Source organism: Homo sapiens, chromosome 5 (assembly GCF_000001405.40).
Source record: "Homo sapiens chromosome 5, GRCh38.p14 Primary Assembly".
NCBI classification, from domain to species: Eukaryota; Metazoa; Chordata; class Mammalia; order Primates; family Hominidae; genus Homo; species Homo sapiens.
Genome location: NC_000005.10, coordinates 35116315 through 35136577, shown reverse-complemented (window position 1 = coordinate 35136577; position 20263 = coordinate 35116315). Strand labels below are relative to the sequence as shown.

Here is a 20263-nt window from a genome sequence, read left to right as displayed (position 1 = left end):
CTCTCCCATGCATGACTCAGTCAACTTCTAGGGCAGTGATTCTCTCCTGGGCAATTTTGCCTCCCAGGGGAATTTGGCAATGTCTGGAGACACTTTTTATTGTCATGACTGGGGAGTTGCTACTGGCATCTGGTGAGTAGACTCCATGGATGCTGCTAGGCACCCTACAGTACACAGGACAGCCCCTATGACAAAATATTATCCAGTCCAAAATGTCCACAGTGCTGAGGCTGAGGAAGCCTCTTCTAGAGATTGTCCTCCCAAGCTGCTCGTCTCTTTTTCCTTCACCAACTAAGGCTTTACCTTGTACCTAAGAAATTCAATTGGCTTTTTTGAACCTTATATGGGTTCATACATGGGCCTCAGAGAGTCCACAAACTTGCACAATTCTGTTATTGTGTATGTATTTATTCTGCCTGTTGGGGAAGGGAGCTTTCATCAAATTCTCAAAGGTTGTATTCTATGTTCATTCTGCGTATGATTTCCCTACCTCACATTTTCTGCTCATTCATCACTTCTCTTTGCCACACTGCCGTTTTTCTACTTCATAACTTCTCAGCTGCTTCTCACATTGCTGCTTTCTTATCGTGGCCATATTTCCCAGTTCGAATTCCGAAGGTAAGGAATCTGATTATCCTGCTCTCCCCTATTCGGACAAAGCTTTTCCCACCAGACAACCTCATAGGCCCCTGGCCTTCCCACACCACAGCTGCCCTGGGTTCTGGTCAGGTCCCCCATGGGATGAGGAAGGCCAGTAGGGAGTCAATGTCACCCAGAACAAAACATGGCTGCCCAAGGCAGGCTCCCTCAGGACGGGCACTGGCTGAGGCAGGCATCGTGATTGCCGCGTCTAACAAAGATGGTCAGAAAACCCTAGGGTTAGGTTCTGGCTAGAGAAGCCACAAAGCACCTGGAAAGACAGGAAGATACTGGAGTCAATCTGAAACTCCAGGGTGTGGCAAACACATGTAGACCCTCAGAAGCCTAAGAGGAGGTTTTGCAGAACCACGAGGAAAAAATAACTCAGGGACCAGAAATAAGGGTCAGGACTCAAAGCAGTGGACATAATCAGGACAGAACAGGCCGAAGTGCAGACACAAAACAGATCAATAAAACCCAACAGCTCAGCAAAGGTGAGGCAGCTGTGTCTCCCTCTGGCTGCCTTTTCTCCCCTCCTCTCTCACCAGAAGCCAACGCGTACACGCTGAGTGGAGAGGCCGCGAGGACAAGACAGTGGGACATGCGTGTGCTGGGGAAGTCGAGAAGCAGGACAGGAGGCAGGTCTGAGAGATCTGGTTTGTGTCTTGTGCCCTGGTTCTCTCTGCATTCCTTCTCTGTCTCTTTTTCCCTTCCTCATGCCTTTTCCTTAGCTGATTTCCCTAGGACAGAATTATTTTCTTTTTCGGACTGAATGATAAAGAAGTATTTGTTTCCTAAGTCTTCATTTCAAAAGCAACAGGATAGAACTCTCTAAGAAAAAAAAAAAACACAAATCTCTAAATGACATTAAATTACATTTTTATTTATGTAGCCTTGAATGGATTGTTCTACTTTCAGTCAGTAGATTTAAAAGGGGAAAAAAAACATGTTCCTCAGTCCAATGTTATAGATGGCTTAGATGACTGGGCTGCGTTACACCAGCACCAGGAAATATCTAGAGCAGTGGTTCTCAAACTTTGCTCCACATTAGAATTTTAACCCTCAGGCGGCACCCCACGCCATTAAATCAGAACATCTAGGGATGGGAGCCAAACAGCCGTAGTTTTTAAAGTTTCTCAGATGATTCCAATGTGCATCACTGGAGACTCACTGTCTAGGAGGTGATTTTAATAAAGCCCTGATCCTTGCTTGCTTTCTTGCCACTTTACTTTTCCACCAGTAGAATGTAACAAAAGACACCTTTTATTTTTCAGTTAATTAAATTAAATCCCAGTTCATTGAGGTTGTGCTCTAATTTCATGCCAGAAGGCAACCAGCCGGGTAGTTGCTTACTTCAGTCAAAACAACAGACCAGCATTTTGGCATCGTGTAGTCAAGCAATGTTTTTATCCACTGATGAGTGGTTGTTAGTTTAATCTTCAACTTTGTAACTTGGTGTTTAAATTTATCCAAACACAACTTTGGACCCTGGAGATATCCGGACTTATTTACTGCCCACCAACCCCCTCCCCCACTCCCCGCCCTTATTCACCAGAGTGACCAGAAAGCAATATGATCTTCACAGCGCCAGATCTTGCTGTGATAATCCAAGGAAAGAGGAGCCATCAAGCCACTCAAGCAACATCTCAGCTGCTCAGTAAATCTTTCAAGAGCTCACCCAAGTCCCAATCTCAGCTTCCTGATTTCTTTTCCTCTTTATATGTGAAGGGTTTTGTTGTTTGTTGTTTATTTTTTTTATTTTCATAGGTTTTTGGGGAACAGATGGTGTTTGGTTACCTAAGTTCTTTAGTGGTGATTTGTGAGATTTTGGTGCACCCATCACCCGAGCAGTATACATTAAACCCAATTTGTAGTCTTTTATCCCTCACCCCCTTCCCAACCTTTCCCCAAGTCCCCAGAGTCCATTGTATCATTCTTATGCCTTTGCATCCTCATCGTTTAGCTCCCACTTATGAGTGAGAGCATACAATGTTTGGTTTTCCATTTGTTGTTCATTTTTTAATAAACATGGTTGAAAAGACTAGGCTATAGTAGGTCAGTAGGGCCTGTTTCTGAGTGTGGTCTGTTTTGCCAGCACATTCTCATGACCACTTGGCAAAAATGAGACTGTGACATTTTTTTGCTCCCAACAGATGTATTTTTGGTAGCCCACAGGTTCTTCATTTGTTTGTTTACAGTCTTTAAGGAGAGAAAACATGCTGTGAGGAAGGGATCAGATTGAAAACTGCTTAATCTGATGGGAAAAGCCTGAAACACAACTTATTGATGGTCTTCAAAACTATGACAGGTTAGAAGGAAGAACATTCAAGCTAGTTGGTCTCTATTTCCATGGAGGAAGTGAGCTTAAAGTGCAGTTAATTGGGAGTATAGTGAGCCAGAGACAATAACTTTGGAATTAAATAACAAATTTGGCTGCTAAGAAAGTCTATGGCATCTCCATTCCTAAAGAATCAGTTTGCTGTGGAATGGGAGTCAGAAATGGGTGGGTTACAATTCTGCTTTGGTCTCTGACTCACCAGGTGTTACATGGCTTTTCAGGGCCTGTGTTAGTCAACATTCCCCAGAGAAGCAGAACCAATGGGATATATATAGGTATACATGAGAGGAGATTTATTATGGAAATTGGCTCACACGATTATGGAGGCAAGAAGTCCTATTATGTGCCGTCTGCAAGCTGGAGCCCCAGGAAAGCCAGTGGTGTAATTCAGTCTTATTCTGAAGGCCTGAGAACCAGGAGATCTGATAGTGTAGCTCCCACTCCACGGCCAAAGCCTGAGAACAAGAGAGAGGCCTGGTATAAGTCTGAGAGTCTAAAGCCCTAAGAACCAGGGGTCTGAAGTCCAAGGGCAGGAATAGAGGGATGTCCCAGCTCAAGGAAGGAAAATTTTCACCCCTTCCATGTTTTTGTTCTATTCAGGCCCACAGTAGATTAGATAAAGCCCACCCACATTGGTGAGGGTGGACATTCTTTACTCAGTCTATGGATTCAATACCAAGTGTACTGGGTGTTTCTCCCAGAAGCACCCTCAGAGACACATCAGAAATAATATTTTATCAGCTATCTGGGCATCCCTTAACCCAGTCAAGTTGACACAAAATTAGCCATCACAGGGTGTCAGCATCCTCATCTATCAAATGAGAAGTTGAGCTGGATAATCCCCAAAGTCCCTCATTGCATACGAATGTCCTATGATATTTAACAATAGGACATGTAGCCTTCTGCCTTGAGAAATTTAGGTACTAACAGAAATTGTTTCCCTGAGGTCCCTTCAACTTCAACAATTTAGAGTAATTCACCAATGTGTTTCCTATTTTGAATAGGACTAATGTGTTTCCTATTTTGAATTGCAAAAAATATAAACATATCCATATTTGATACCAAGAAATTAGTAATTCTGTTGGATGTGAAAAGAACACGGGTTACATAAGAATATGGTCATAATTGCTAGAGATATATACTGAAATAGGTAGGAGTAAAATAACATGATGTCTGGGATTTTTTTAAATAAAATAATATATATCCAGATTTCACAAGATTTCCTTTGGGCTGGAAAGGTTTCTGAATATAGTGCCTGTGTTCTAGAAAGAGGGGTCAGGAGCCTAGAGTATGCAGATGTTGATGGTATTGAGTGTTCTGTACACAGAACCAAGAGACTAGAGACTTTAGAGACCACAAAATGCTTTTCCTAAAGACCTAGAACATGAAGGTTTAATTTATTTCCCTTTTTCTCCTCCATGTGTTTTGGATAGGTTGGTAAGTGGAAATCAATTACCCCTGAATAAAATAGAAACCCTGAGAGAGATAAGTGACTTTTCTGGGGATACATGCTAATGACAACATCAAAGCCAGAGTGAGGATTGAAGGGTGAGGTACTATGACTACCTCCCTCTACTCCTCCTTCCCCTCCTGCTGGGGAAATGCCAAAGGTATAAGTATCCTTTTGGCACCATTTGTCCTCCAGGGTTTCTGTGTCTGTCCTGTATCTCCTTATTCATTCTTAAAACTCTTTCTAGTGGTCAGAGCTCTCCTTTAAAGAAAGAATAACAAGACATCATAGCAGTGAACTCAGAGCACTATCACTGGCTTTTCACAGGACATGAGCAACTTTCTCACTGGAGGGGTCAGGGATGCTTGTATGGTAGGTGCTCCTGACTGTGATAACTTCACTTGAGCCTACCCTGAGAATGACCCTGTGTGGCAGATGCACCCAAATATATGTTCAGAGTTCCAAGCTAAGGAATTGGAAGTGGCCATCCCAGAGATTCATTCCTTATCTATGAGGAACATCTGAACCCCAGCCCGTCCCAGGGAATGTGGGCCATACAGGGGATCAGCATCCTTTGTTTGGGGTTAAATGAAGGTTGCCAGGCTGAGGTTGCTAGGGGGAGGGTGTTAAGTGAAAATGTTTTATAAACTGCATGCCTTTTGCCAGCGATTGTGGTTCTTCTTACCAGCCCACTGCCACTGGACCAGCAGTTCTCCTGTCCAGCCCGCCACCACTAGACCCTCTCCCCTGTATGTAAACCCCCAGTAAAACCCCAGTGTCTCATTTTCTAGCTCTGGATCTCTTCTTCAGCCTCTTGAACCTAGTGCCATCCCCTTTGGAGTTGATAGGGATTCAGCACATCACTGCTACACTAGAATAAAACATGTGCTGTGTCCACATTAGGCCAACAAAATCCCATACCATCCAACTTTTTTCACTGATTAAAAATACTATTAAATTTTAAATTGGTTCATATAAGAAGTTGCAGAAAAGGTGTTTGTAGGCAAATCCAGCTGACTCACATATAAATCATCTGTATTAGTTTATTAGGGCTGACATAACAAAGCACCACAACTAGATGGCTTACAACAACAAAAATGTATTTTCCGACACTTCTAGAGGCAACAAGTGTGGAATCAAGGTTTCAGCAGGGCCATGCTCCCTCTGAGATGCTGGGTGGAGTCCTCCCTTGCCTCACCCTAGCCTCTTGTGGTGGCAGCACTCCTTGGCATTCCTTGGCTTGTAGCTGCATCACTCCGATCTCTGCCGCTGTTTTCCAAGGTGTCCTCCCCGTGTGTCTCTTCTCTGTCTTATAAAAACATCCGTCCTATTGGATTAAGGGCCCACCCCACTCCATTATTACTTCATCTTAACCAATTACATTTGCAAGGACCCTATTTCCAAATGAGGTCACATTCTAAGGTACTGGAGGACTTCAGCGTCTCTTTCGGGAGGATGCAATTCAACCCATAACACCATCCAAACAAATGACATTATGAGAAGGTTTCCATTTTTGTCCTCTGTTGTGGTTAGATTCCTGATTTTACATAATTTAGAGCTAAAAATTTACTTCCTGTCTGAAAAGTGATTTTTGACAAGGATTGAGATCACAACTCGAGTTCTGTGGCCATTGCTTGCCCTTTCAGAATCACTTGTCCCATCCTGTGTGCCATGTTCCAAAGAAGCCAGGTGAGCAGATGCTGGCGACACAGGGATGACAGCATAGACTACAGCTTTAAGTGAAAGGGACTCATGACTCAACCCTGTAGCTTGCCCTTGCTATGGTTGCCCCACCCCTCCCAACTCCTTATTCCTCCTGCTTTGCTGAAACCACAGCTGCCTTGAATCGAGCCATTTTGATTCTGCCGCAAATGAGCTGTAAACCAAATCAAGCCACATCAAACAAATCCAACCACCATCAAAAGCAAGTTAGTCAATTTTTGTTTTCTTTGCAATGGGGAGGGGTCATAAAAGCCTTGTATATCCCAGGGCAAATATTAATCTGTCTGAAGAGTCAGCTTGCCAACGGGTAATCAGCAAACAGGTTGGTGCTCATGAGAGCTGCACAGACTGGTAGTTGAGGATATTCGGTGCCAGGAGCAAACCCCAGCAGGCACCCTTGGTAAATCTGGCAGGCTCTGTGACTTCACCCTCTGCATTCGGAAGCAAGCATTCAAACTTTGACAGGCTTGCGACATGCCCAGGGTAAGTCACCTGGCTTCTTGGATTCTGGACAGATATCCTTGTGCCACAAGCTCACTTCTCTTTCTCTGCTTCAGGACTAGGTCCTTCAAGGGGATAGCAGAGAAAGCATGTTTGCAGAATCCATGCCTTGTGCCCACTCCCACCCTACTGCTTGGCACTTTTAGGGAAAGTGGGAAGGAGTAAAGTTACTCTGTCACTGGCAGAGGAGGGACAGTAAAGGGAAGAAGAAAATGGGAGAAATGAGAAATAGGTACCCAATGAGTAAAAAAAAAAAAATTGATTACAGTGCTTAAAACCTATCACTACAGTGGTGATGTTTCTGAATGATAGAGAGGGTGGATTTGGCAAAGCTTCTGGAATCTTTTCAGACTTGAGGTCCACCTCCTGTCTTGAGACCAGTTAAGTTTCAACCCCACATTTGCTGTGGTTGATCCCTTGACCTTTGTGTAAATCCTCCCAACTTTGTTAGGCCAGAGGAATGTGGAGTAAGGGTTCTGAGTTGTACAGTTCCACAGTGACTCATCTGGCCAATACCTTAAGGATGCAGGAAATCTGAGCAGAGAACAAGACTCCCTCAATATTTAGAAACTGGATTGAGATTTCAATCCAAAGGATACAATTTGCCCATCACCTTAGTTGCTTGTACAGTAAATTGAGCACGTCAATAACACTAAGAGAACTTTTTCTCTTGATGCCTAAATGCCAATCACAATTTTTCTTAGTTCTCTCAATTGGCATCCTGGTTCCTGTCTCACTCCTACTGTAGTGCACACTTACAGAAATGAAAGCTGCCTACATAACCACCACCAGCATCCAGAAAGGAGAGAATTTGACACCATCTCTTTTTATCTCCACCAGTTTCTGCTTTTTAGTCATTAACAAATGGCTCTGGTTCCCTTTGCAGTGAAGACCCACAGAGGCAGAAGTCCCTGCTCTGAGTCAGTTCAGCTCTGATTTTGAACACTGACTGGGTGCTCAGCAGTAAGGGTTGAAAGGAAAAAGAGGGAATACGGGGAAGGAGGCAGAGATGGAGACAGATTTACAGGTCTTGCCTGAGAGTTGTGCTTGATAAGCAGAGAGCCAATTATCTCTGCAACTCCACCTTCCCAGCAGTCAAATACTTGATGGGCAGGTTAAAAAGTGAGGAGGTGAGGACAAGATTAATTATCAAGTCTCAGAGGAGGTGAATGAAATGCCTTCTTGTTCATTGCTATTTATTCAAAAAGAGCTGCTGAACATGAAAGAATATTATCATTTTTGCAAATAATTAGAGGAAATAATAGGCTTGTATTTTTTAAGCAGCTTTATTGTGATATACTTTATGTTCCACAAAGTTCACTTGTTTAAAGTACAGCCAGCCCTTTGTATTCGCAAGTTTTACATCCATGAATTCAACCAATCAAGGATAAAACATATTCTGAAAAAAAATGATAATACAATAAAAATAATACAAAATGTAAAACAATATAGTGTAACAAATATTCACTTGCTATTTACATAGTATTCGCATTGTATTCAGTATTATAAGTAACCTAGAGATGATTTAAAGTATATGGGAGGATGTGAATAGGTCTTATGTAAATACTACAACGTCTTGTATCAAAGACTTGCGCATCTGTGGATCTGGTATTCTAGTATTCATTAGATCCACAGATGCGCAAGTCCTTGATAGAAGATGCTATAGTATTTGCATATAACCAATTTGTATGTGGAACCAATCCCCCATGAATACTGAGGGACAACTGTATACAATTCAATGGATTTTAGTATACAGATGCTCCTCAACTTACAGTGGGGTTAGATCCCAACAAACTCATTGCAAGTTGAAAGTTAAAAATATTGTTTAAGTCAAAAGGATGTTTTCAACTTATGATATTTTCAGCGTATAGTTTATCTGGACCTAACCTCATCAAGAAGCAGGTTGAATGCCTATCTCTTTTGCACCCTCATAAAGTCAAGGAATCATGGAACTATAGTAAGTTGGAGACCATCTGTATTTACAGTTGTGCAACCATCACTATAATCTAATTTTAGAACATTTCGTCACCCCAAGAAGTACATGACAGCAATCACTCTCCACTCCTTTTTCTTCCTGATCCCCAGCCCCTGGCAACCACTCATCCACCTTCTGTTTCCATAGATTAGCTTTCTAGACATTTCACGTAAATGGAATCATGCTATCTGGGGTCTTTCGTGCCTGGCTTCTTTCACTTACGATATTGTTTTCTGAGGTTTATTCGTGTTGTAGCATGTATCAGTGCTTCCTTTTTTTCTATGGCTGAATAAAATTCCACTGTAGGGTTATACCACATTTGTATATCCATTCATCAGTTGATGGACAACACACTAGTATTTTAACTAAAGAGCAAAGTGCCATGATCTCTTTAATCTGAATTGTACACCTTTTTAGCTGTACATGAGTTACTATGACAGTTTCTGATCTTAATATCTTAGATTTAAGCGTATTTAGTATTGATAATAAAAATGACTTCTGTTTAAGTTTGTGGAGAGTTGGGGTTTGCAGGATGATGTAATGGTGATAGCACAATAATGTCATGATATTTACATCTGTGTTTTTCAACTATCTTAATAGAGTGGGTCTGTATTTAAGACTCCATTCCTCCCTTCTAATAAAATAACATTTGAATGACTGGAGTTTTCTTAATGGCATGCACATGGAACACTGCACCTGCAGTTGTGTGTTCAGCTGACAAGTTCACAGCTGAGTGTGAAGCCAAGCTACAGCAGGTCTTCCAGGGGTCTACTTGCCACGTGGTCCTGTCTGTTGGCATCAGATTTGCCCTTCACAGCTTCTGGCTTAAGTATGAATGAGAAGGCATGAAAAAGAGGAGGGACTGGGAGCAAGGAGTTCTGCAGGTCTTAGAATCCTCCCTGGGATACATATTTAGGCAGTTCTTACTCCAGGTGGCAAAACCCTGCACAGCCATTCTTCTTACATGAGGAGTAGAGGCCGACTGAAGGCTCTACGATCCTGGCATGGCCATCTCCTATCTTTGGGACATTGAGCCAGTATTTAGCCCATCTCTTTCTCATCAGCAAGTGAAGATAATAATGGTTCTTATTTCCTAGAGATGTTTTGAGGATTCCCATAATTCCTGGCACGTACCAGATGTCCAATCAATGTTAGCTGTTAATAATCATTAGCATATATTAATTACTTGCTATTTCCTAGATACTGTGTACATTCACAATCATCCAAAAAGGTAGCAAAAGGTAGCAATAGATATTTCCACTTTACAGGTGAAGAAATAAGACTCAAGGAACTTACATGCCTTGCTCAAGGTCACAAGACTAGATAGTGGCACAAGTCGTATTTAGATCCCTTTTGGTCCGATTCAGAATCCTATACACATCCAGTGAACCATGCTGCCTATATGTAATGAATCGGGTGGGCCAATATTCACACACAGTAACACAAAGAAAAAAAATCCTCCAATTTTTTAAAATTAAAATGAATGATTGATGCAATTGGACTACTTTGGAAAATAATGTCACCAAAACCGATGAGGGGGAAATAAAAGTGAGAACCTGGGATGAAGCAATTGGGACAAATTTGGGCCTTAAAGAATCTCAAAGCACATTATTTGCTCAATGCTATAATCTTCCCAGCTCTGGGGAGCCAGATCCCCTGGCTTATGGAGACCAAAAGAAACTACACATGGCACTCTCGGGCTAAAAAACAGTACATGGACTCATTTCCATCAGCTAGAGATGAGTCTATTTGCCCATGCTAATATTTCAGTTCTCAACTTAATAGCTTAAGATGTTCCCATTATCAACATCACTTACCTACCCACAGCACTTTTAAATTAGCCTTGGGAAAAATGAGTAAACAGAAGCACAGTTTATCATTCTGCCAAGTGCAGCTACCCCTGAAGAAGGCAGCTTTGGATAGCAAAACAGACAACTAGATTGAAAAACAGAAGTGTCAGCCTTGACACATGCTACTAATTTGCTGCTTCGTAAGGGTCATTTGCTGTGTTGCCCAAGAGTGAGGGAGAAAACAGTTCAAAGGTCAAGGACAAATGGCATTTAGATGTTCCCCAACCAGGCTGACATAATTGGAAAACTAAAACCCATCGCCTGCTAACATTCCCCTCTCAACAGTCTTCCTGATTATGCAGTGTAAAATAGGAACAATTTTGGCTACTGATCTTAAATAATCCTAAGCCCTGGATACTAAGACCAGGAAATATGTATTCTCTTATACTTTTAGATGTTCTCAATTGAAATTAACATGAACATAGCAATTTTCCACTTTAATTAAAAGAGTGTGTTCTTTTTCCACTCATGGTATTAGTGGCTTCAAATGCTTAAAGAACCTTTACAGAAAACCCCTTATGGGGATTAAGAGATCAGGACAAAGATAACATTTTAAGAATGTTCTTAATATTGCAATGAATTGGGAATTATTTTTTAAACCATTTCCTTTAGAAGTCTAAACAGTGTCTTTTCATCACTCGGAGGTATTTTTTAATCACTAGTTCCCAGTTCACTTTAAATTATTAGTGTAGCCCTAGCTTGTAAATGCCCCTCACCATCAGGGAAAGATGGATTTACACTCATGACCTCTGAACTAAACTAAGCAGAAAGTCATTTCGTTCAGGTCCACTGCTGGTGGCCACCTCATCCCCATGTCCAACCCATCATTGTCCCAATCAAGATGATCGTTGGCCAATTTCTACAGACTCACATTCAGGCCAAAGTTACTCACTGGACTGGAACAACCACCTGTGTTTCAGTGATGCTGATTTGGTCCTCTCATGCTTGTAAAATCCAGCTCTAAACTTTACTGTTGCTTGCTGGTCAATCAAGGAGACTTGGACTTTGCTTCTTTTTAAATTATCAGTAGTGTTATTTATTTACCTCCAAAAGGATTCTAAGTAACCCACTCTAGATATAGATCTGCTAATAACCAGTACTGTGGCCTTGGCAGGTTATAACAATAATAAAACTTCTAACTTTTCAGAGTGTTTCACTGTTACAAAGCACTTCCATACACCTTCTCTTGTTAAAGTTATTACCCTCAGAGAACACCAATTGACTGATACACTTCTGATAAAGATAGCAGATGAAAAACATTTTGGAAAATAAGGGCTCTGGACAAATTCAAAGGTAACCCTGTTAATCTATTGACTGGTGGGCCTAGAATTTCAGGGTGTTGATCCAACTCTAACTTCAATTCTGGCTCCCAGAGAAGTCTGCCATCATGGTTATTTGTCAAGAACGAGAGGTCAGAAATGCCAAAAATAGGAGTTAGGGTGAGTATTCTGTCAAAAATTCGTACAAGGAACTTCTTTTATAAAATAAATAAATTAAGGAATTTGGCCTGGATGTCAGTGCCTGCAAAAGGGACTTCAATATTCCCCAGTAGATTACTATAAGGATATCTAAACTCTGGACTAGGGGTTATAGACTACAGATAAAACTGTAAGCCTCCTGCCTCCTACAGTCATAGCATTTCGGAGTTGAAAGTCCCTTTTCTGGTCTTGTAGCCCTGATCCAAGTTGCTAACCCCTCTAGGATTTTACGTTGTCTCAGCATAAGCATGCACCATGAGGAGGAGCTCACCTCCTACCAGAGTGGCCCATTTCATCCTTGGCCGTAGCAATCTATTGACTGGTGGGCCTTAAAATTAAAAAGCTACTTTGCCTTGTAATATGACCCATTTGTTTTAGCTCTGCCCAGCCATGGGCAATCGGAATGTCCGGTAAAGAACTCCTCTACCATTTTACTGAACCCAAATTTGCCTTAATGTAATTTCCACCAGTTGGAAGGTCTCTCTTCTTGTGCCTTTGGATACATTTTTTTGATGACTATAGCAGCCCTGAATGATTTCAGAGACAGAGCACAAAGCTCCTGAGAGCTAGTACATTGTCCTTCCCAGTCTTAACTTCTCCTTGTCTTCTATATCATCTATATCTTTCCCTTTTCCTCTGACATCTTCCCCCAGCTCTGTTATAATTCTTTCAGAAATTAAACACAAATTCCTACATGGAAGGCAGAGGAATTCAGTGAAAAGAGCAGAGGAACTTGGTCCAATCCCTGACAAGTTTCCACGTTTAAAGCCTCATAAATACTATGATTTCCCTGATGGGGGTGGGAGGGTAGAATGACAGACTATAAGTGAGTATTTATTATAAGCGTCAATGTACTATAAAGCTACTGAATACTTTAACAGTAAATTCTAAAAGACCTCAAGCAGCTTAGCTCCTTGTTTTACATCAGAACACATTAAAGAGAGAAGCAGCCTGACTTTTCCAAGGACCACGGGACCAGTTAGAGTTAGAAACAGAACTTAGATTTTCTGACTCAAAATCCCTTGCTCCCTCCACTGTCTCTCTGTTAAACAATGAAATCAATAACATCATCCAGGCAAAGGCCCTAGAATAGCACCCAACATGTATTAGGTGCCCAATTATTATAGGCTGAATAAATATGTGAGTGGACAAATCAGTACATGAATAACTAGGACTCATTTTCAATGATGACATTATACAAGTTCCCTCCAAATGTCACTTATGTTTTTAGTCATTCTTTAATTAGCTCCCTATTAAGAAGCTTGGTTCTCAAAGTGTACTTATGAAGATTAAATGAAATAAAGCATTAAAGTGTTTAGAAACAATGTCTGGCAGCCAATAAATGTTAACTAATTGCTGTCTTTCTGTTTTTTAGCCATTTTTAAAAGTAAGATTATGCTGATGCTGTCAGGAGTCTCTACTCTGAAAATCACTTTACAATCCACTAACGAAAGGAATTCTGGAATTGCAAAAGGATTACTACTATTTGTCAATTCCTATCCTTCACCTGTAACTAGGCCACCCACACCTACCCCTTGTAGTTGGCACCCATCAAGACACAAACAAAATATTGGATTCTTTCGCTTCCTCATCTGGGCTTGTGTTTACTCCACCCCTGACCTTTGGGCACTGTCTCCCATTCCCAGTCAACACTTGCCAATTGGACCTGACAGTTGACTTGACTTTACCCTATTTATCTTGCTCCCTCTGTCTCCATCTCAATCTCAATCAAGATTTTGTAATTCCCCTTTGGTTCCTCCACTCTCAGCCACCCTGGTACCTCTACTCCTAAACAAGGCCCATGCCTTTGACTCAAGTGGATGTGCTTGCTTCTGCTCAAGTTCAGCCTGCCCCAAAAGAGTGATTCCCAAGTGCTTTATTGGATAAACTTCCTTTTCATTCAAGAGCTCCACATGCATGTCTATAAATTGCCATATGTAATCTCTATCAATTGCCAGAAATCTTGCAGATTTCTTTCTGAATCTGAGTTTATCTGACAATTTGTCAGGACTAAAGACTAACATTGGCCTAACGTCAGTTTATCTGACAATTTGTCAGGACAAAAGACTAACCTTGGGCTAATGTCAGTAAACAAGAAAGAGCTCAGGAACAGAAAACCAAACACCGCATGTTCTCACTTATAAGTGGGAGCTGAACGATGAGAACACATGGACACATAGGGCAGGAGGTTGGGGGAACAACACATATTGGGGCCTATCAGGGCGTGGGGAGGGAGAGCATCGGGAAGAATAGCTAATGGATGTTGGGCTTAATACCTGGGTGATGGGTTGATCTGTGCGCAAACCACCATGGCACATGTTTACCTATGTAACAAACCTGCACACCCTGAGCATGTACCCCAGGACTTAAAAGTTGAAGAAAAAAAAACAAGAAAGAACTTCAGTAAATTCATCAATTAGGTTTATACCTGTGGTTCTGGTGTGGACAAGAAGTATTTATTATCTTTTTAATCTCCATGTCTTGCTAAATTCATCAATTAGGATGATATCTGTGATTCTAGTGTGACAAGAAATATTTATTGTCTTTTTAATCTCCTCATGTCTTGTGATGAATTACCATGTATTATTTTCTCATTTGTTAATTGTGTATCAACTCCCACTTTATTCCACCCAGAATGTAAGTTTCTTCAGAGCATGGACTTGACCTGTTTATATCCACAGCTCTATCATCAGCACCTAAAATACTATTTGGCAAATAGTAGGCAACCAATTGTTATTGGTTGAATACTGAGTGAATGAAAGAATAAATGAATGACCCAGAAGCAGAATGGAATTGTGGTTGGAGCACAGCCTTTGGCATCAAAGAGATCTCGGTTCAAGTTTTGGATATGCAACTTCTTAGCTATGAGTCTTCTCTGAATTTCAGTTTCTTCATCAATAAAGTAGGGGTAATAATAGTGCCTACCTCATAGATTTTGGGGAGCATTAAATAAGATAATGCCTGTAAGGTTCTTAGCATGATAGCTGGCATATTTTAAGAACTTAGTAAATGTTGTGTATTATTTTCGGTGAAAGTCCTCAAATGTTGAAGCTTATCAGAGGTAATTGAATTATTTAATATGGCTGGTAGTGATGATTGTACTAAAGACAAATTAGTACAATTAGTCTGTCAGCAAGATTTGATTTAAAGAGTCAGGCTGACAAAAAAAATGTATTGGTCACACCCACCATATTTAAAGCACTATACTAGGCTTTCAGGAGGGGGTGGGATGCAAGGATGGATATGACACAGCCCCTTCCCTCTAGGAACGTAGAACTGAGAAGATTTACTATGTGTGCACTGTACCATGCTGAAGATACAGAAATGTGAGGCAGTGTTACCTCCCACATCATCCAACTTACTCTCCATGCTCTGCAGAAAATTCTTCTAAAACACTCAGCCTTTGCTTTGAACCCCTATAATGACAAGAAACTCACTGACTTATGAAACAGATGATTCTCTTTGGGAACAGTAGTCACCACTAGAATGATCTTAAAATTAGCACAAATCTACCCCCCCATGGTTTTTACACATTGATCAAACTTCTGCCTTCTGGGCACCTCTAGAATAAATTCATTTTGCACTCTTCTATCAGAGGTCAGCAAAGTAATGCCTGCAGGCCAGATCCAGCCTGTTTATTTATATAAATAAAGTTTTATTGGAACACAGCCAAGCTTATTCATGTACATGTTGTCTACGGCTGCTTTTGTACTACAGTAACAGAGTACTTGGAACATTTCAGCCTACAAAGCTGAAAATATTTACTATTTGGCTCTTGAAGAAAAACTCTCTCAACTTCTGCTTTATGTGACAGAATTTGGAGATAAACAACATGCTTTTTCCTAAAGTGAGGAGCAGGGAAATGAGCACAGTACTCCAAGTGGGAGCTAATGTAGAATTCACAGAACTAAGTAGTACTATCACCTCCCCTGTTCTGGATGCCATACTTCAAATAATGTGACCAGAGATCAGGTTGGTCTTTGACTGACACACAATACTCAAGTATATAAAAGATGAAATCTGTGAGTTATTTCCCCCAGGAGCTTCTATTAAATTATGTCTCCCCACCCCATAATGGTATATCCTCATGTTGGGACCCCACCCCATAATGGTATATCCTCATGTTAGGAAGTATATACAAAATTTTACACCTTTCTTGCTTGTCCAGAGCAATCAGGCACAATTTAGCACATATTCAAGGGCCATCTTAGGGTCAGACAGAAAAAGGATGGCACGCGCAGCTAGGATTTTGAAGAGAATGTAGAGACTCTTTACATGCCCAGGGGTAGGGTTAGAAGAACAAGGGAATTTGTCACCCCCCTATCTGCATAAAGAAGAGTGGAGAGGGAAGAATTTTGCCAGGGCCCAGTGATAGCTGGAGTCATGACTGCTTAACTAGTCTTGTGGTAAAAGATACACAACCACGGCTAGCACCACTCTCTGAGGCAGTCAGGGAGGGAGGGAAATCGATACCCTGATATGCCCATCTCCATGCTCTACCCACTGTGGGTAGAACCCTACTTGAAGCTGGAGGGCACAGGAGTCAGACTCACAGGGCACAGAGCAGGTAAAGAATAGACGTGGGAGCCAGGGCAGAGGATGACAAGGGCTAAGTGGTAAGCCAAGCATTTCCTAAATGCTGAATGAATAGTAGATGAATGGACCAAGTGGGCCCAGGGCCTGTCACTCAATAAGTGTTTGTTGAACTGCAGAAGCCATCCCTTTATGCCCGCCTGCCCCGAAGCCCTCACTGCTGCTATCTGCTGTTCCAGATGTCCCACCCCCAGCACAGCCCTTGTCCTGGTTCTCCACTCCCTCGCTGACCCCTCAGTGTTTCTGCCAAGAGTGTAAAAACAGTCTGGATCTTATTTTGGAGATGACAGAACGGAGCAGGATTTGCTCTGAACAGAACAGGACAACTCTAATCAAAGAGAGAACTTTAAGTTCTAAAATAATTCTTAGAATCTAAAATTTTTTTAAACAGAAAATTTGGTGTCACTGCACCCTATGGAGAAAAATGAGTGGCTCCTAAGAAACGTGCCCCAGACATCTGTGTCAGAGGCTCTGGATCCAACAGACCCCTTATTATCAAATGCCTTGGGGCTGGCTGTCTTATGCTCAGATGGCCCTTGTCACATGGTAGCCTCTGATTGTAAAGACTTCCAGGCTCTTGATTGATCATGCCAACAGCAGCAATGTTGAGAAAGTGGTGTGTGTGTGTGTGTGTGTGTGTGTGTGAGAGAGAGAGAGAGAGGTTGTCAATGGCATGAGGGTGCTAGTGGCCAACCACAGCTTCCTGCCAGTCACCTCCTCCTCTGTCCATTGAGTCAGCATGGAGGATATTCAGCACTGGCTTCCTCAAGGAATAATCCTGAAGATTCTGGATTTTGAAGACTTAGAAAAAGCATTATTTTGTCTGCTACTCTGGTTAGATTATTTGCCTTTGCTTGGAATGGGCAAGACAAAACTGGACATTAAATTATGAATTGCTGTTCATATATATCGAAGCCCATTTTAAAAAGTAGCTGTAGGTTGGGCATGGTGGTTCACACCTATAATCCCAGCACTTTGGGAGTACGAGGCAGGCAGATCATTGACGCCAGGAGTTTGAGACCAGCCTGGCCAACATGGCAAAACCCCATCTCTACTAAAAATACAAAAACTTCGCCAGGTGTAATGACATGTGCCTGTAGTCCCAGCTACTTGGGGCAGGGGGCGGGTGAAATGGGAGAATCACCTGAGCCTGGGGAGGTTGAAGTTGCAGTGAGCTGTGATTGCGCCGTTGCACTCCAGCCTGGGAGACACAGTAAGACCCTGTCAAAAAAAAAAAAGATCCATACCTCTAACAGTTGTCCCTTCATGCCTCCGAGACTCAGGCTAGTCAGTCCCCAGAGTCTGAAAGTTCTTATACAAAACCCAGAATTCCAGTTCATCTATAACTATGTCAGAATTTGTTAAGAAATTTCATTAAAGTCTCCAGGACCAAATTTTATGAAATCTAATCCCAACTAGGATAACTGGCAAAATTTGAGTAAGCTCTATAGATTAGGTAATAATACTGTGTCGATGTTAATTTTCCTACGTTAATTATTGTACTACATTTATGTAGGAGAATTGTCCTTGTTCTTAGGAAAACACACTGAAATATTTAGGGGTAAACATGCATCATGACTGTGACTAGTTCACAAATAATTAGGAAGTAACTTTTATATACAGAGAAGAAAGATTATAAATCAGATGTGGTAAAATAGTAACAATTGAGGTATGTGGGTCGAGGGTATATGAGATTTTTTTTTTTTTTTTACTATTTTATAACTTTTCTGTAAGATTAAAATTACTTCAAAATAAAGCTGCCAAAAAACAAATTCCAGAACACTAGAGCTGTCTCATGCCTATCACTGAGGGGCCAATGTTCAGCCATGCTACGTACTGCAGAGTGAGCCAGAAATGGAATCTCCCGTTTTGTCATCTTGGAGCTAAAATGAATCATTTCCTCTTTCAGCTAAAGAACTCTCCTATTCATGGAGGCGAACACTGAGGATGCTTTCCACATGAACCCTGAAGGTAAGGGGGACTTGTTCTCATGCCCCTCGGTCACACCACCCATCTGCCCCACTGTCCGTTTCATCCAGGGCAGGGGCTCAACTATCTTGGTTTACAGAATATCATCTCAAACCAGTCAATGTCTACACTGGCACATTCTGCTGTCTTCAAAGGCTGTTTCAGTCTCCCCAGCCTGTCCAGCTCAGAAAAACTGATGTTCATCCTTTTCTGTTTTTCTCAAAGAAAATACCAAAGCTTTTAATAGCTGATATCTCCTAGTGGTGCAATCATGAGAGATTTTTATTTTCTCCTTGTAGTTTTCTGTAATTGAGAGATTATCGACAATGACTATGTTACTTCTATAATCAGAGAGAGAAATATTGTGCTTGCTTTTATTTTCTTAAGCAACTCTACATAAATTCTTGCCACAACTTTCTGGGCCCCGTAATGTTACTGCTGTGTCTCCTTCCTCCCAGCCCTCATGGCAGGACTCATGTGTGACAGGCTCTGGGTCTTCTCTCATCTGCCAGTGGCAAGGAAACCCTAGGCTGCCAGGACTGCTTAGCAAATAGATCATGAAGTATTACGACTCCATTTTACAGATGGAGAAACCAAGCCCCCTGACTTCCCTCTGTCTACACTACAGGCAAATGGGATCTGGACCCACTGAGATGAGCTCGACATGTACGACTTTGAGGCTGTACTCTCTCATTCAGAGGAAGTTAAGGAGCCAGGAAGATAGGAAAACAATGAAGTTATTGGTTGAAGAAAATCCTAGACAAAATTTTCCTGGGACTTCTTGGGGCCATCTAGGGAAACTTACTAGTCTTCCCACATTGAAACATGATAGCCCCTTGAGAGCCATCATGCCGCTTTGGTGTCAAGTTCTGAGCCTGAACTTGCCCTCTGGGCCAGGGTTTCTCAAACAACAGTGTAGGCATTCTGGGTCGGATCGTTTTGGGTGGTGGGGCTCCTCTGTGCATCATTTGATGCTCAGCAGCATTCCTGGTGTCTCCCACTAAATACCAGAAGGACACCACCCCACCCCAGCTCTAACAACCAATGACATCTCCAGACAGTTCCAAGGAGGACAAAACTCCCCCCAACAGAAGTAACAATAAAATAATGTTTCCAGGCTTTGCCAAATGTCTTCCAGGTGGGGACAAAATTATCCTACCAAAAACCACTGCTTTAAGTTGCCTCAGCCCAGCAGAAGCTTTTGTTTTTCATGGAAATCGACTGAAATTTATAGTGTTCACAATAACATTAGCAAATACTTGCAGAAGAAGTGTCATCAGTCATCAAAACGCTCTGGGTACAAGAGTGCCCCACAGCATAATAGCCCTGCCCAGGAGCATCTGGTAACATTGGAAGTGGTGAATCGACCCATTCAGACTTCTCTGTGCTTTCTCCCGTCTTGGCTTCTACCCCTTCATGCCAAATGCCTCATGCTATTTACTGGAAGGAAAGGCAAATGAAGGAGAACAGGGCAATGCTGAGTACTGAGTGGACCTTTCCTTTAAGAGTTTGAAGAGGTCAGAAAGCACCCAGTAGTCAGAGCTGTGTTGCAAAGCTCCCGGAAAATTTGGCCGCTACTTTGTATTTGTGTGTGTATTCATTATTCATAGACATGTATTCATAGACAACATTATTGCTCAAAAGATTTGAGACATATTCTCCACTTCACTTTATATAATTTTAACTTTTTACAGCAAACAGGTCACCACTCTAAAGAGTGGCTTAACCAGAAATCCTTTTTTAAAAAAA

The 20263-nt window shown here is 41.7% G+C and overlaps 1 protein-coding gene across 12 annotated transcripts in view, besides 1 other annotated feature; it reads left to right on the top strand.

Moving 5' to 3' along the window:
• Positions 1-20263, top strand: part of PRLR (prolactin receptor) — a 181732-nt gene that overhangs the window by 93910 nt on the left and 67559 nt on the right. For 10 of the 12 annotated variants that reach the window (NM_000949.7, XM_047417388.1, XM_047417390.1 and 7 more), the window contains one exon: positions 18456-18517. The exons of 1 other annotated variant lie outside the window; for it this stretch is intronic. The gene's annotated coding sequence lies outside the window, so the exon portion shown is untranslated. Of the gene's footprint in view, positions 1-1187; positions 1282-18455; positions 18518-20263 lie in introns of those variants that run through there. One more of the 12 variants, XM_011514068.3, reaches the window with a different exon arrangement.
• Positions 17937-19136: an enhancer, noted in NCBI's record as "MED14-independent group 3 enhancer chr5:35117544-35118743 (GRCh37/hg19 assembly coordinates)". NCBI's record gives its function as "activates an origin of replication core promoter dependent on BRD2, BRD4, P300/CBP and CDK7 cofactors, and independent of MED14, by STARR-seq in HCT116 cells {active_cell/tissue: HCT116}" and the evidence as "EXISTENCE:reporter gene assay evidence [ECO:0000049][PMID:35650434]".